General features: G+C 38.2%; 1 protein-coding gene and 1 non-coding gene across 5 annotated transcripts in view; both read left to right on the forward strand.

Moving 5' to 3' along the window:
- The window catches only part of WDR44 (WD repeat domain 44), a 103,889-nt gene that overhangs the window by 37,659 nt on the left and 48,256 nt on the right, over positions 1 to 17,974 (forward strand). For 2 of the 4 annotated variants that reach the window (NM_019045.5, NM_001184965.2), the window contains exons 3-8: positions 3,609 to 3,683; positions 8,901 to 9,540; positions 10,324 to 10,454; positions 11,518 to 11,613; positions 13,239 to 13,375; positions 14,656 to 14,739. In NM_019045.5, the coding sequence (NP_061918.3) occupies positions 3,609 to 3,683; positions 8,901 to 9,540; positions 10,324 to 10,454; positions 11,518 to 11,613; positions 13,239 to 13,375; positions 14,656 to 14,739 (1,163 nt within the window). The remainder of the gene's footprint in view (positions 1 to 3,608; positions 3,684 to 8,900; positions 9,541 to 10,323; positions 10,455 to 11,517; positions 11,614 to 13,238; positions 13,376 to 14,655; positions 14,740 to 17,974) is intronic. The other 2 variants (NM_001184966.1, XM_011531353.4) reach the window with 1 other exon arrangement.
- MIR1277 (microRNA 1277) lies at positions 2,663 to 2,740 on the forward strand. Its single transcript, NR_031685.1, has one exon. It is a non-coding gene; the product is annotated as a microRNA 1277 (primary transcript).

The raw sequence follows: 17,974 nt of genomic DNA on the forward strand, positions 1-17,974 counted from the left end.
TTTTTTGGAGACAGAGTCTCGCTCTGTCCCAGGCTGGACCAAGTATTCTCTTAATGGTGATCAGCTTCCAAGTATTCTCTCTCCACCTTGTCAAGGTTATCTTATCAATTGGTCTTGGTTAGATTTTTATTTCTTTTTTTTAATTTCTTTTTTTTTTTTTTTTTTTGAGACAGGGTCTTGCTTTCTTCCCCAGGCTGGAATGCAGTGGCATTATCATAGCTCACTGCAGCCTCAGGCTCCTAGGCTCAAGTAGTCCTCCCACAACAACCTCCAAAGTAGCTGGGACTGCAGGCACATACCACCATGCTTGGCTAATTATTATTTTTTTTAGAGGCGAGGTCTCACTGTGTTGCCCAGGCTGGTCTCAAACTCCGGGTTTCAGCCTGTGCCCGGCCTTCTTTCATATAAAACCAGGATCCAATTAAAGCCTATGTAAACTTAAGATGTATGTATTAACTGAAGAAAAAACAGAGCATGCATCATTCAACATTCATTCAGCAAATGATTATTTAGTGCTGGACACTGTTTTAGGTACTGAACAAACTGTAGATAGAACAAACAAGGTCCATCTCTCATGGAGCTTACATTCTAGTGGGACAGGGAAGAGACAAAAAATAAGCAAGTAAATAAGGTCATTTCGAACGATAAGTGCAATGAAGGAAAATAGGATAATGTTTTCCCAGCACCATTTATTGAGTAGGGAAGCCTTTCCCCATTCTTTGTTTTCATCAGGTTTGTCGAAGATCAGATAGTTGTAGGTGTGCGGTCTTATTTCTGTATTCTCTATTCTGTTCTATTGGTCTGTGTGTCTCTTTTTGTACCAGTACCATGCTGTTTGGTAACTGTAGCACTGTAGCATAGTTTGAAGTCGGGTAGCATGATGCCTCCAGCTTTGTTCTTTTTGCTTAGGATTTGCCTTGGCTATTCAGGCTCTTTTTTGGTTCCCTATGAATTTTAAAATAAAATTTCCTAGTTCTGTGAAGAATCTCAGTGGTAGTTTAATAGTAATGGCATTAAGTCTATACATTGCCTTGGGCAGTGTGGCCATTTTAACGATATTGATTCTTCCTATCCATGAGCTTGGAATGTTTTTCCATTTGTTTGTGTCATCTCTGGTTTCTTTGAGCAGTGGTTTGTAGTTCTCCTTTCACCTCCCTAGTTAGCTGTATTCATAGGTATTTTCTTTTCGTGGCAATTGCAAATGATGGGAGTTTATTCCTGATTTGGCTCTCTGCTTGGCTGTTATTAGTGTATAATAATGCTAGTGATTTTTGCACATTTATTTTGTATCCTGAGACTTTGTTGAAGTTGTTTATCAGCTTAAGAATCTTTTGGGCTGAGACTATGGGTTATCTAGATATAAGATCATGTTGTCTGCAAACAGGGATAGTTTGACATCCTCTCCTCAATCCCATTACTGGGTATATACCCAAAGGAATATAAATCATTCTATTATAAAGACACATGCACACACATGTTCATTGCAGCACTATTCACAATAGCAAAGACATGAAATCAACCTAAATGCCCATCAATGATAGACTGGATAAAGAAAATGTAGTACATATACACCATGGAATACTATGCAGCCATAAAAAAGAACGAGATCATGTCCTTTGCAGGGCCATGGATGGAGCTGGAGGCCATTATCCTTAGCAAATCAATGCAGGAACAGAAAACCAAATACTGCATGTTCTCACTTATAGGTGGGAGCTAAATGATGTGGACACATGAACCCATAGAGGGGAACAACACATGTTGAGGCCTATCAGAGGGTGAAGGGTGGGAGGAGGGAGAGGATCAGGAAAAATGACTAATGTGTACTAGGCTTAATACCTGGGTGATGAAATAATCTGTGCAACAAAACCCCATGACACAAGTTTACCTGTGTAACAAATCTGCACATGTACCCCTGAACTTAAAGTTAAAAAAAAAAAGAAAAATAGGATAATGTGATAGAAAGTTAAGGAGTCAGCTAAGGCTATTTTGAGATGGTCAGGGAAGTATTTTCTGATAAAATAGCACTTGAGCTATGACCCTAATGGCAAGGAATCATCCTATTGGCCAGAATGTAATTGTGGGGGAGTGATATGAGAGGGAGATGAGGAGTGTAGAAGATATCAAAAATGTAGGCAGAGGCTATGTCATGTTTAGGCCTTCATGGGCCTTGGTACTGTTTGGATTTTATCTAATACTTAAGAGTCCATGAAACATTTTTTTTTTTCTAGAAGAATCTGTGTAAGATTGGTAGTATTCTCCAAATTCTGGGGGAGGAATTCAGTGCTCGAAGATATTGCAAGTCCTACAGAAATTTCACTGGCACGTTAAATCTTTAACATTTTAATAATCTCTGGAGTAATTTCATTATTGAGCCTATTGTGATCATATCCTGATACTTGTATAAGTGCCACCTAAATAATTAATGTGCCTTGAGTCCTTTATCTGTCTAAAATGGTTATAATGACCTTCCTCTAACAAACTCTGTGATGTGCACAAAGAATTATGGTTTTTTTTCCTCAGTATCAAGAGTAGCATTCAAATTGCTGTGCTTCTATAAATAGACAACTTAAGATTGAGAAGAGTATTGTATTGAGATTTGCAAATATATGATTGTCTTATTTTACCCTAATTTTTTCCAGCAGAAATGCAGTATCCATTTCTAACCTCCCAAATATATATATATATGTACGTATGTGTATATAAATGTATACGTAGATATATATGTATTTTTGGTGGGTTTAATTTTTTTCATCTTTTTTCATAGTTTTTTTAGGGGCTTCATTTAACTTCTGGTTAAGTCTTGATTTCTTTTATCTAAAGCATGTAGAATTTTAAGAAAACTATTCCCTGAATGTGGTTTTCTGTGTTATAAACTTTTGTATTTGTGCATATTTATGGAGCAATGCTTTGGGGAAAATAACAATTTTTATTCAGCCCCTTGCTTAAATCCTTAATCCTTTTTAGCTATAAAAGTACGTAGAAGTTCTTATCGTCCATTACAGTTTTTTAATGTTAAAAAGTTGAGCAAGTTTTCACATTTAAAGGTAAATATCCTATTGCAGAATAATAGAATATTGCTGATGGGTAACTTTCTTATGCAAATTACATTGTCCCATTTGGCATAAAATTTCTGAGCATCTATCAGTATTCAGAAATCTAAGCCCTTTAGGCTGGGCACAGTGGCTCACACCTATAATCCCAGCACTTTGGGAGGCTGAGGTGGGTAGATCACTTGAGGTCAGGAGTTCAAGACCAGCCTGGCCAACAAGGTGAAACTCTGTCTGTACTAAAATTACAAAAATTAGCCAGGTGTGGTGGCACGCGCCTATAATCCCAGCTACTCGGGAGGCTGAGGCAGGAGAATCACTTGAACCCGGGAAGCAGAGGTTGCAGTGAGCCAGGATTGTGCCACTGCACTCCAGCCTGGGTGACAGAGTAAAACTCTGTCTCAAAAAAAAAAAAAAAAAAAAAAGAAGAAGAAGAAATCAAAGCCCTTTAAGGGCCTTTGATTTATTAATGCTACATTTTCTCATTTGTACCCCTTTAAAGCATATTTTTAAAGAAAAGATGTCATCATTTGGTCTCTATTTCTTTTCTTTTTCAAACAGGAAACAGAGAACACTGCATACAAAGTTGGAAATGAGTCCCCTGTACAAGAATTGAAACAAGATGTGTCTAAAAAGGTTGGAAAGATACAATGTCAATATTAGTTTATAGCAGACATCATATTTATATGGTATATTTCAAACAGCTTTTATATTCTTTTAGTATAGCGCTCTGTACATGGCTGATGTTCAGCAAATGTTTCATGAATCTGTCACATTTGTGGTTGAAGACATTTCAGTCTTTTTAGAAGTCCTTTTCATATTCTAATTGGTAATTTATCCTTGAGACAATATTTTGTAAAATGCTTTTATTTTTTGTTCTTGTATTTTTATCAGAATAAGCCCTAACTCTTCTTGAGGTTACTACCAGGAGTTATGGGTATTGAAAAGCTCAGTGCAGCAACATTCTGATGTCTTTAGGAATCAGAAGTTATAAGAAGTCCTTACTCTGATAGTACCTGATACCTTTTAAAAAATTGATGCTATGAAGCTTCAAAGGTTGGTTTACTAGAAGAGACTGAGCACAAGATCAGTATTTTGAAAATGGGCAGTTTACAGTATCAGGATAAAACTCAAGGAGAAAGACAGGATGGTGTGTTTTTATTCATTTATACAAGTTTTAAGTGTTTTCTGTGCCCTAGGCAATGTTCTAGCCAGTGGGTTTCCAGAGGCTAACAAAATGACACATTCTCCACCCCAGAGTTTCTCCAGTACTGGCACTCGACATTTTGGGCTAATAGAGGGTAGGGGAAGGCCTGTTGTGTGCATTGTAAGATGTTTTAGCAGTATCCCCAGCTTCTACTTACTAAATGCCAATAGCATCCTCAACTCCCAATTATGACAACCAAATATATCTCCAGATGTCTGGGAAGGGGTATGGAACAAAATAACCCCTAATGGAAAACCACTGTTCTATCCTTATGGAATTTAGAAATTTAATGGACTACATTTTTTTTTTATTTGAGGCAGGGTCTCACTCTGTCGCCCAAGCTAGAGTGCAGTGGCACAATCATGGCTCACTGTAGCCTCCACCTCCTGGACTCAAGTGATCCTCCCACCTCACCCTCCTGAGTAGCTGGGACTACAGGTGTATGCCACCATGCCTGGATAATTTTTGTATATTTTATAGAGACAAGGTTTTGCCATGTTTCCCAGGCTGGTCTTGAAATTCTGAGCTCAGGCAATCCACCCACCTCAGCCTCCCGAAGTGCTGGGATTATAGGTGTGCAACACTGTGCCCAGCGAGACCACATATTTTGATATTGATCATACTTTTTCCTTTAAAGGAAAAATGTTCCCTTTTGGGACGAATGGTGGATTGCATAGCAGTGTACATAACAGGAATTGAACCATTTTTTTAAAAAAATAAGAAATTGCCTATAATTCTATACTATAACACACAGGTGTCTTGATTTTTCAGCATTTCCTTCTGGTCCTCATCCATTAGCATACATTTTTCTGCCTAATTGTAGTGTAGGTAGAATTTTATATTCTGTCTTTTACTCTTACCATTTTTAGATTTTCCTCATACTTCTATATGAGTTCTGTACTCAGATGCATCAGATTCCATCAAGTAAATGGATTACAATGTTATCTAGCCATTTTTATTGTTGAAACTTAAAATATTCCTGTTTTTTCCACTATAGCTTTTCTTATTTTTTAAAGAATGTTTTTCTTAGGATAAATAACAAATGTATAACTATCTATAGTTAGTGGGGAAAAAAGATGATTTTAAGGAGAGTTTAGAAGTTTAAACAGTAGTGAGAAAACACTGTGGAGCAGAATGAGGTTTAAGATTCTAAATAATCACTTTTTAAGTTCTAGCCTTTTCAGTTGAATTAAGTATGAATCACTAATGATAAAGGCTATGGGGATATACCCTGGACGAGGGCATACTCTGCTCTCGAGTAACTTACATTTTAGTAGAAGAAATTGGATAAACACAAAACTAAATGCAGTAAGTATTCAAATAAACTTAGAAGCTATTGTAAGAACACAAAGGGAAGGAGACTTCTTGCTTGGGGGTAGGAATGAAGATGACTTCATGGAGGAGGTAGCATCTGAGCTGGTTCTTAATGAATGCATAAGATTTGGACAGGCTAGGCCGGGCACGGTGGCTCACGCCTATAATCCCAGCACTTTGGGAGGCCGAGGCAGGCGGATCACCTGAGGTCGGGAGTTCGAGACCAGCCTGACCAACATGGAGAAACCCCATCTCTACTAAAAATACAAAAATTAGCTGGGCGTGGTGGCGTGTCCCTGTAGTCCCAGCTACTTGGGAGGCCAAGGCAGGAGAATCGCTTGAACCTGGAGGCAGAGGTTGCAGTGAGCTGAAATTGCGCCACTGCACTCCAGCCTGGTGACAGAGCTAGACTCCCTCTCAAAAAAAAAAAAAAAAAAAAGGATTTGGCCAGGCTAAGATGGGAGAGGAAAGGCATTACTGAAGGCATGGAGGTGGGGAATGTGCAGAACATTTGAGGATGAGCCTAGAGAGCAAAGTTAGGGCTGGATTATAGGAATGCCTTATGTCATACTAAACTGTCTGCTTTTTATTTATTTATTTATTTATTTTTTGAGACTTGAGTCTCGCTCTGTTGCCCAGGCTAGAGTGCAGTGGTGTGATCTCAGCTCACTGCAACCTCCACCTCCTGGGTTGAAGCAATTCTTCTGCCTCAGCCTCCCAAGTAGCTGGGTTTACACCAACACACCACCACGCCAGGCTAATTTTTTATATTTATTTATTTATTTATTTATTTTGTATTTTTAGTAGAGATGGGGTTTCACCATGTTGGCCAGGCTGGTTTTGAACTCCTGACCTCAGTTGATCCGCCCACCTCAGCCTCCCAAAGTGCTGGGATTACAAGCATAAGTCACCGTGTCCGGTCACAGTGAGCTTTTTGCAGCAAACAATGCTTTAGCATAATCATCTCTATGTGTGTCTTGGTTCTCATTGTTCTCTTAGTCTTTCCGTTTTCACTATTTCCTAAAATCCAGAAAAAAATGACAGGGCTAGGCACCATAAGAAGGTGTCATGAGGCATATCAAGAGGCAAAAAACATGGACCTTTCTCTCCAGGTACTAATTATCTGGTGTAGAGAAAATAAATAGAGCTAGCCTATATACAGCTCTGTATTTGTATTATAGTTCATACTATACTGAACAGTAAGAATAATAATAGAAGTGCAGAGGAGGGAGAGATTATTATCAGATAAGGGATTGGGGAAGATGCATTTTCAACCTCATTTTGACCCCTCTTGTGGCACAGACATTTCCATTATGTGTAGTGATTATTTCAAACCTTTATACTCACCTCATGCTCACTGTACCCACTCACATCCCCCTCACTTTCAGCCGATAACCTTGTTTCCTACTCCACGTAAATATTAGAGGCTAAAAAGCCTGAATCCATTCCTTTGTATCATCTTTCACTTCCTTTACCTACATATTTATTGTTATTTCTTACCTTTTTTTCATGTCATCCATCACTGAAGATTTAGTATTCTTGTTTTCTGTCCAAAGTAGTGTGGTATAATACAAAGATCACTGGATTTTTAAGTAAGACCTGGATTTCAGTTTTGGCTTTGTAGCTTACTAATTGTGGGACTGGCAAAATTCTTAAAGCCTTTACCTCAGAGTCCTGCTTTTCTAGGAGGGAGGTAATCCAGCTACCTAACCCAAAGGCCTGTATGACAATTAAATGAGAATGTGTATACTAGGTCTAATACACAGTAGGCCTTCTTTCCTTTCTTTTCCAGAACATTGCTCTGTTATCTTCTTTTCCAGTAGTTCCTTCCCTTCAGGTTATAAAAGTGCTGGGTCACTTTATCGAAGTCTTTTTGCATTTATAGCTAAGCTTTTTGAAAACTCAGACCGTGCTAATGTCTCTGTATCTTCACCTCTTATTCAATCTCAAATCCATTGTAATATGACTTCTGTTATCACTGTTATCATTGAGGTTCTCAGTGCTCAGTAACCACCTAATTGACAAATTGGTTGGACTCTGGTTAGTTTTGGTGAAAGCAAGGTAATTTCTAAGGTTAACAATTTGAAGTTTGAGAAAAACTAACATATAGAACATGCTAAGAAATCAGGGATGAATATTACTGAGCAGCAGTAATACCCAGTTCAAGTTAGCATGAAATTGTAGTAAACCAGATTAGGATGGTTCTATGATGCATTCTGTTAACTTTCTGAAGCCAGGGAATTGAGAAAGCAGAAGTTGTTCATGGTTGGACATGGTGGCAGGATAAGTGATCTGGGAGATTTAATATTAGTAATGACAAGACTGGGGAGAAAATATATTCTAAATGTTGGCAGAAGATAATAGAAAGCCTGTTTATATTTTAAGCTACATATAAGAAAGGGGGCCAGGCGCAGTGGCTCATGCCTGTAATCCCAGCACTTTGGGAGGCTGAGGCAGGTGGATCACATGAGGTCGGGAGTTAAAGGCCAGCCTGGCCAACATGGTGAAACCTCGTCTCTACTAAAAATACAAAAATTATCCCGGCGTGGAGCACCTGTAATCTCAGCTTTTAGGGAGGCTGAGGCAGGAGAATTGCTTGAACCTGGGAGGCAGAGGTTGCAGTGAGCCAAGATCGTGCCACTGCACTCCAGCCTGGGTGACAGAGTGAGACTCCATTTCAAAAAAGAAAAAGAAAGGAAGGGAAAAGACAAGGTGGACTGGGTATTTGAACTCTTTTCATGGTCCTGCCATCAGTCCACATAGTGGAGTTTAGGTGTAGTCTGTTTAAGAATGTTAATCTCCCTGCATCTGCTGGTTTTTGGGTCATAAGCTTGAGTTCAGAGCTAAACAACTTGAATTCTTCTCCTGGGGATTTGGATTATCGTGGTTTGGTTAAGTAGGCTCAAACCATTAGGCTGGTATTACAACAAGTTTGGCATAAATATGTAAATGAATCAGGATATTGAGTCTTAATGTAAGTTTAGGATTGAACTTGATTTTACAGGATTATTTGATCTTTTGTACCTAAGTATTAACACAAATTTGCTATTATGAGGGTTAAGAGTATAGATGCTGGAATCAAACTCCCTGGGTTTATACCTGCTTCATCACTTACTAGCTTTGTGACCTTGGACAAATCATTTGATTAGTTCCCTAATTTGTAAAATGGTGACAGTAGGAGTAGAATCTCATAAGGTTGTTGTAAAGATTAAAATATGTAAAGTGTTAAGAACATTGCCTGGCACATACTAAGTACTATGTAAATGATTAGCTGTTACTGTGTTCTTATAAATAGCTTCATTTTTAAAAACTACTTTTAACCCTTTCATCAGATTATTGAAAGTATTATTGAGGAGAGTCAGAAAGTACTACAGCTTGAAGATGACTCTTTGGATTCCAAAGGAAAAGAACTCTCTGATCAAGCTACTGCCAGTCCTATTGTGGCTAGAACAGATCTGAGCAATATACCCGGACTGTTAGCCATAGATCAAGTACTACCGGAAGAATCCCAAAAGGCAGAGAGTCAGAATACATTTGAAGAGACTGAATTAGAATTAAAAAAATGCTTTCCTTCTGATGAAACCTGTGAGAAACCAGTAGATGAAACCACGAAGTTAACTCAAACAAGTTCAACTGAGCAGCTTAATGTGCTTGAAACTGAAACAGAAGTATTGAACAAGGAAGCAGTGGAAGTCAAAGGAGGTGGTGATGTTTTAGAGCCTGTGTCCTCAGACTCCTTATCTACTAAAGATTTTGCCGCTGTGGAAGAAGTGGCCCCTGCCAAACCCCCAAGACACCTTACTCCAGAGCCTGATATAGTGGCTAGTACAAAGAAGCCTGTTCCAGCACGCCCACCTCCTCCAACTAATTTCCCACCTCCTAGACCCCCACCTCCTTCTCGACCTGCTCCACCACCAAGAAAAAGGAAAAGCGAATTGGAATTTGAGACTCTGAAAACTCCTGATATAGATGGCAAGTATTAATTGAGAAATCACTCTGTTGGTTGGGCACAGTGGCTCACGCCTGTAATCCCAGCACTTTGGGAGGCCAAGGCGGGCGGATCGCTTGAGCTCAGTTCAAGACCAGCCTGGGCAACATGGCAAAACCCCATCTGAGCAACAACAACAAAAAAAAATACAAAAGTTAGCTGGCCATGGTGGCACGCGCCTGTAGTCCCAGCTACTTGGGAGGCTGAGGCAGGAGAGTTGCTTGGGCCTGGGAGGCAGAGACTGCAGTGAGCCAAGGTCGCGCCATTGCACTCCAGCCTGGGTGATCAGAGTGAAATCTTGTCTCAAAAAAAAAAAAAAAGAGAGAAATAACTCTTTGTGGTGAAATTTTGGAGTTGAAACTGTTTACCTTTCTGCCTTTATTTCACTTTATTAAAAAACTCACTGGCAACCAAGTTATTAAAATTATTTCTTTAGTAATAGACAAAATGTAAAAATGTTTACATTGGTGAAAATTACTTTACTGTAATTGAACACTTCAGCAGACTTCAAACTTTCAATTCTGTTGCCATCTGAGAGAGAGTGGCATGGTGAAAAAAACTTGGGATTTGGAGACCTAAAGTCTGAATTCAAGTCCTGCATCTTTTTTTTGTATGAGCTGTATAGTCTTGAGGAAATTAAATAACTTGTTTGAACCATGGTTTCCCTGTATAGGAAATGAGAGTAATCAAGCCACTTTCCTCACAGGGTTGTTACAAGAATCAAACAAAAAGGGTTGTTATTATTGTTGTTATTATTATCATTGCAGTTCCCAAAGAGAATATTACGTCTGATTCTCTCCTAACCGCAAGCATGGCTTCAGAAAGTACGGTTAAGGATTCTCAGCCTTCTCTTGATTTGGCAAGTGCTACCAGTGGAGATAAAATAGTTACCGCCCAGGTTGGTGAATTAGTGTTCTGTTTCATATAGACTTTATCAGCTCCCTGCAACTGGCTGGTTTGTTGATGATTATTCTGTATTCTCCAGGCCAGATTTTTCTTTGTCCTCCAAACCTGACCCCCTTACTTCTCTTGATCAGCTCTGCTACATGCTAACTGGGTGAGCCTAGCAAGCTGTTTAGCATCTGGATCTCAGATGCCCCATCAATAAAATGGAGGAAAAGTCCTTCCTTGAGGGTTTGAAATGAGCTAAAATATGCCAAGTATCTAGCAGGTAATAGGTATTCAAAAAACGACAGATGCTACTATTTGTAATATTGTTGGTACTAATAAACACCAACTATAGTCTATGTTTGTCCTGTATTGGTCAGAATTGAAGACTTTTTTTTTTTATAATTTCCTTTTCCTAATCATAGAAAAACTTTATATGCTAGGAAGCGGGCTACACAAAAGACTTGATAACACTAATTTTACCACAGCCAGATTCTGGGACTCAGAGCTACTTACATGGTAGCTGTGGTGGGCCAGGCTACCACACTAGAATATAGGACACTATAGTCTTGTTATAGCCTTAGAGCAGGGGTCAGTAGTGGCCTGCTTTAGGAGGTTCCCCAAGCTAAGAATGTTCTTTACATTTTTAAAGGTTGTTTAAAATAAGAAGAAGAATATGTGACAGAGACTCTATATGAACAAAAATGCCTTAAATATTTACTGTATGGCTCTTTATAGAGAGAAGTTTTCTGACCCCTACCTTTGAGGTAGCCACATACAGTCCAGATTAATAGCAGTCTTAGTAGAGAAATGCCTTTTGGCCAGGTTCAAATAGAACATTTATTTGTTTTCAAGAATACTAAGACATTATTTCATGAGCAGCAATAGTTTTGGTTCCTAATGTTTTTCAGCATGCTGGGAAAAATGAAGGACTGAAACGTAATGTTCCATTTAGATTTTCAGCAGACTCCATTATCTGAATTATGAAATTCTTTAGAATTATATGTGGTAATAATTGAAAATTTATAGAAATTGATTCAGTCTAATTTCTGTTTATAAAATTATATTTCCAGGAAAATGGAAAAGCACCTGATGGGCAGACTGTAGCAGGTGAAGTGATGGGCCCTCAGAGACCTAGATCCAACTCTGGGAGAGAGCTTACTGATGAGGTAGAAATAGATTTTTTTGTTCTTGTTCTTAAAACATAAAGTACAAAAAACATAATGGGAAGATGAAAACGTTCTGGAGATGGATGGTAATGATGGTTGCATGACAATGTGAATGTACTTAATGACCCAGAACTATACACTTAAAAATGGTTAAAATGGTAAATTTTATGTTATGTGTAGTTTACCACAATTTAATTTTTTTTAAGTTTATTGCTGTTACACACAAAAAAAAATACAGAAGAAAAAATGAAAATTGAAGATTGTCTTTGTTGATATGCTGGATGTAGCATCTCTGACTTAAACTTGCCCTTTCACTGTGTTGCATAGTGGAATAAATATATTGAAAGCAAGGTTTATATTTTATAGAAAGTGGGCTTTAAAAGAACTTGATATTGAGGCCAGGTGTGGTGGCTCACTCCTGTAATCCCAGCACTTTGGGAGGCCAAGGTGGGCAGGTCACTTGAGGTCAGGAGTTTGAGACCAGCCTGGCCAACATGGCAAAACCCTGTCTCTACTAAAAATACAAAAATTAGCCAGGCATGGTGGTGTGCATCTGTAATCCCAGTTACCCAGAGGCTGAGGCAGGAGAATCACTTGAACCTGGGAGGCGGAGGTTGCAGTGAGCCGAGATCACACCACTGCACTCCAACCTGGGCGACAGAGCAAGACTCGGTCTCAAGAAAAAAAATTTAAAATAATATAATAATAAAAGAACTTGATATTATGAATATATGTTATACCAAAATAAATTTTTTTATTATTTTAATGGTTTCTTATCATTAAAACTTAGTATGCACCTATTAGCCAACTTATTCAGAATTAAATTTTACAGCAAAATCTTAGTTGATGTTTCTTTAAAACAATACATTTCTTAAAATATTGCACTTTGGAAAACAGTTTGGCAATTCCTCAAAATGTGAAACATAGTGTTACCATGACCCAGCAATTCCGTTCCTTTGTATATACCAATGAGAAATGAAAACATATGTTCACACAAAAAAATGTACACAAATATTCACAGCATCATCATTCATAACAGCCAGAAAGTGGAAACAACCCAAATGTTCATCACTGATTGGATGGATAAATAAAATGTGGTATATTCATACCATGTTATATTTTTTAGCAATTAAAAGGAATGAAGGGATAAAGTACTGATACATGCTACAACATGGATAAACCTTGAAAACATCATGTTAAGTTAAAGAAACCGACATAAAACGCCATATATTACAGGATTTGATTTATATGAAATGTATGGAATAGGCAAATCTATAGAGACAGAAAGTAGATTGGTATTTGCCAGGGGCTAAAAAGAAAGGGAAATGAGGTGTGACTGCTAATGGGTAGGGAATTTCCTTTTGGGGTGCAGAAAATATTCTGACTTAGTGGCAATAGTTGTACAACTCTGTGAATATACTAAAAACCATTGAATTATATGCTTTAAATGAGTGCATTTTGTGGCATGTGAATTATATCTCAATAAAAATGTTAGAAATTATTGTGTGCAGTATTGAATATATCTAAAAAGCCTTTAGCTTAAATTTTAGGGGATTTTGTAGACTCAAAAAGATAATTAAATTGCAGGTCATCTTGGTGTGATTGTTTTTTTTTTTTAACCTCAGGAAATTTTAGCCAGTGTAATGATTAAGAACCTGGATACTGGAGAAGAAATACCTTTGAGTCTTGCAGAAGAGAAACTACCAACAGGCATTAATCCTCTCACTCTACACATCATGAGAAGGACAAAAGAATATGTAAGGTATGGCCTAATGTTGTTATTTGTCATTTCTAGTATTTCAGAGTTGTTAAGATTTCTCTGTTAATGAACTATGACAACCCCTAATTTGGTTTCATTCAGTCTTTTTTCTTCTGGAATTAAAATAGAGTTAGATAATGTATGTATTCTTTAACTTTGCTCTTCATTATGACTGTACAGTTACTTGGGGAAAATAGTATAAATATTAAATCCCATAGCACTTAATTTCTCTTTTTTAATGATTTAAATTATACTTGAGACAATATAAAAACAGTGAGGCAGCCAGGCGTGATAGTTCATGCCTGTAATCCCAGCACTTTAGGAGGCTGAGGCAGCACTTGAATTCAGGAGTTAGAGAGGAGCCTGGGCAACATAGTGAGACCTCATCTCCACAAAAATAAATAAATAAATTAAAATAACAGAAAAATGAGGCTAAAAAGCTATGTAGAATGAACACTTAGTCTTCTGAAACCTTGCTTTAAGGATCATAAATTGTTTAAATATTTGTACTGTTTTTGTAGGATCAGAAAATGGCTTTAAAATGAGATGAGTGACTTTACTACGAGATGTATGTGGATCTATTGAATCATTTTGGTAAAAGCAGGAGCTATTTTATTAAATGTAATGCAGGATGTACTTAATGAGTGGGGAGGAAGATACCTACAAGTTACTTTATTATTTCCCTATAGCACATTTTGCCAAGCAAAAAGGTTTGTTTGTAGTAGGTTTTTCATAAATTTCTAAATTGCATTCATTTACATGTTGTACATTGAACCTTGCTTAAAGATTCTTTTCTTCAATTTCTGAAGCCTTTAAGTTGTCAGGTCCATCATTTAAATTAAAATTATATGGGCCGAGCACAGTGGCTCACACCCGTAATTCTAGCACTTTAGGAGGCCAAGGTGGGTGGATTGCCTGAGCTCAGGAGTTCGACACGAGCCTGGGCAACATGGTGAAACCCTGTCTCTACTAAAATACAAAAAATTAGCCAGACATGGTGGTGTGCGCCTATAGTCCCAAGTACTCAGGAGGCTGAGGCAGGAGAATTGCTTGAACCAGGGAGGCGGAGGTTGCAGTGAGCCAAGATTGTGCCACTGCACTGCAGCTTGGGCGACAGAGCAAGACTCCATCTCCTAAATAAATAAATAAATAATTAAAATTATGTAAAGCTTATTAGCGTAGTTTTTCTTATTCTGATTAACTGGTTATATAGTAAGTATAAACAGATTTTTAAGAAGTATAGAAGAAATGGCTTCTTTTAAAACAACTTCCCCTTCTTACAGTAATGACGCGGCACAGTCAGATGATGAAGAGAAGTTACAGTCTCAGCCAACAGATACTGATGGTGGAAGGTTAAAACAGAAAACGTGAGTTACAGTACATCCCTTTTCTTCATTTCAAGTTTTTATTTAAAAAAATATGAGAACTACCATACTATTTTAAATCATGCTCCATGTAGTTTTTATGTCTACCCACCACCATTCCTCCCTGTCCCTCGCTGATGGGTTATGAAGTTGTATTGATTAGTTTTAAAGCATCTGGGCTGGGCGCAATGGCTCACGCCTATAATCCCATCACTTTGGGAGGCCAAGGCAGGCAGATCTCCTGAGATCAGGGGTTCAAGACCAGCCTGGCCAACATGGTGAAACCCCATCTCTACTAAAAATACAAAAATTAGTTGGGCATGATGACAGGTGCCTGTAATCCCAGCTACTTGGGAGGCTGAGGCAGGAGAATCACTTGAACCCAGGAGGTGGACTCCACTGCACTCCAGCCTGGGCGACAGAGCAAGACTCCCCCTCAAAAAAAAAATGGTAATAATAATAAAGCATCTGACATACAGAAAATGACCAGTAAGTGTTGCACCATACTTGTGTTATTTTTCTACCAGTAGGTAGGTACGAAAAGTGTTAGTAGAAGAACATGATTGTCCTTGAAGTTGTCTTTTCCCTTTCTCTTTATCTCTGCAATCCTATTTGTCTTTCTAAACCCAACTATAATGAGATTCCTCCTGACTACTACAGTCCATGGCAATTTTCTTTCTTTTCTCAATTTTGGGAATACCTGTAGTCTATAACTTACTTTTTCCCTTTACAATATGTTATCTTAAACTGTTTTCAGACAAATACACATTAAACAATCAAAGCGTATGTTGCAAAAGGATTCTGATTATGCCATCCTTTGTTTCCCCTACAAACTTCTAGATCAATGGTGGGCCTGTACATTTTGTTTGATTATACACAAGTCACTAAATTGATAATAATTAACTCTAAGGTCCAAAGTGAATTATCCACTTGAGTCCTTTTCCTAGTGTGTATCAAAGAAAGCATTGAGAATTTTTAGGAAAGATGTACCTAAAATGCAGGCATATGATAGCACCTTAGATATTTGGAACTTGGCCATCTAGTAGTTGCAGTTATTGGGAACCTGAGAATAAGGAATTACTACAATTATTCTGGGACAGATAAACATCCAGAAGAGATGTCACATAGTCCATGCACTAAAGCTCATTATTTTTCTAAGAGAAAAGTTCCTCAGGTTTATTCAAAGCCATTATGCTTATTTCTTACATCATTTTTTTTAAAACTCTGTTCAGTGTCTGAGCTTACTGCAAAATAGAAGCAGCAAACTGTGACAACATGTAAGTTGACACATAAGAATGTCAGGTAATCAGAAAAATGATAAAATAACTCATAATATAGGTGGGTGCAGTGGCTCACACCTGTAATCCTAGCATTTTGGGAGACCAAAGTAGGAGGATCACTTGAGCCCAGGAGTTTGAGAGCAGCCTGAGCAACACAGGTAGACTCACTCTTTACCAAAAAATTTTAAAAATTAGCCAGGCATGGTGGCACACACATGTGGTCTCAGCTACTCAGGAGGCTGACATGGGAGAATTGCTTGAGCCTGAGGGATCGAGGCTGCAGTGAGCCGTGATCACACCACTGCACTTCGGCCTGGGTGACAGAGCAAGACCTTGTCCCCCACACCCCCCACCAAAAAAAAAAAACTCATAGCACAATCATTGTACCACAGTGCTTTTCAACCTTTTCTTATGCCATTGACACACAGAGAACATAATAGTATTTGCACTGAATGTTGGGGTAAGCTGGCCATCAGCTGATGGCCAGAGAAGATTGGCCCAGGCTTCCCTGGGCCCTGCCCTGTTGCCTTGAAGGCTGAGTGGGGAACCAATAGTATGGCCCACCTGCAATGCATTAGAAAGGCTCTGAATGTATTAAAGAACCAAAATGATGGTAACGATCTTATCCATCAAGGAATGAAATTTAGGGAACATTAAGTGCCATTTAAGAAGGCATAAAAGTAGATACTTTAGAACTATTACCATCTGAAATAATTAAAATGTCTGTTTTCTTGGCTTTTAAAGTGGTAGTAAACTTATAATTATCCAGAAAATACAGCTTCAGAGTTATAGGTAGCAGAGACCTTATAATGGCTTTAAAAATGGTTTATCATCTGTGTTTTCTGGTTATCAAAAGAAATACAGAAATATGTAAAATAGAAAATGAAAGTTTCTCATAATCTCAGCCCCAGAAATCAGTTTTGTTTTTTTTTTTATTATACTTTAAGTTTTAGGGTACATGTGCACATTGTGCAGGTTAGTTACACATGTATACATGTGCCATGCTGGTGCGCTGCACCCACTAACTCGTCATCTAGCATTAGGTATATCTCCCAATGCTATCCCTCCCCACTCCCCCCACCCCACCACAGTCCCCAGAGTGTGATATTCCCCTTCCTGAGTCCATGTGATCTCATTGTTCAATTCCCACCTATGAGTGAGAATATGTGGTGTTTGGTTTTTTGTTCTTGCGATAGTTTACTGAGAATGATGATTTCCAATTTCATCCATGTCCCTACAAAGGACATGAACTCATCATTTTGTATGGCTGCATAGTATTCCATGGTGTATATGTGCCACATTTTCTTAATCCAGTCTATCATTGTTGGACATTTGGGTTGGTTCCAAGTCTTTGCTATTGTGAATAATGCCGCAATAAACATACGTGTGCATGTGTCTTTATAGCAGCATGATTTATAGTCCTTTGGGTATATACCCAGTAATGGGATGGCTGGGTCAAATGGTATTTCTAGTTCTAGATCCCTGAGGAATCGCCACACTGACTTCCACAATGGTTGAACTAGTTTACAGTCCCACCAACAGTGTAAAAGTGTTCCTATTTCTCCACATCCTCTCCAGCACCTGTTGTTTCCTGACTTTTTAATGATTGCCATTCTAACTGGTGTGAGATGATATCTCATAGTGGTTTTGATTTGCATTTCTCTGATGGCTAGTGATGATGAGCATTTTTTCATGTGTTTTTTGGCTGCATAAATGTCTTCTTTTGAGAAGTGTCTGTTCATGTCCTTCGCCCACTTTTTGATGGGGTTGTTTGTTTTTTTCTTGTAAATTTGTTTGAGTCCATTGTAGATTCTGGATATTAGCCCTTTGTCAGATGAGTAGGTTGCGAAAATTTTCTCCCATTTTGTAGGTTGCCTGTTCACTCTGATGGTAGTTTCTTTTGCTGTGCAGAAGCTCTTTAGTTTAATTAGATCCCATTTGTCAATTTTGTCTTTTGT

Source organism: Homo sapiens, chromosome X (genome assembly GCF_000001405.40).
Source record: "Homo sapiens chromosome X, GRCh38.p14 Primary Assembly".
Taxonomy (NCBI): Eukaryota; Metazoa; Chordata; class Mammalia; order Primates; family Hominidae; genus Homo; species Homo sapiens.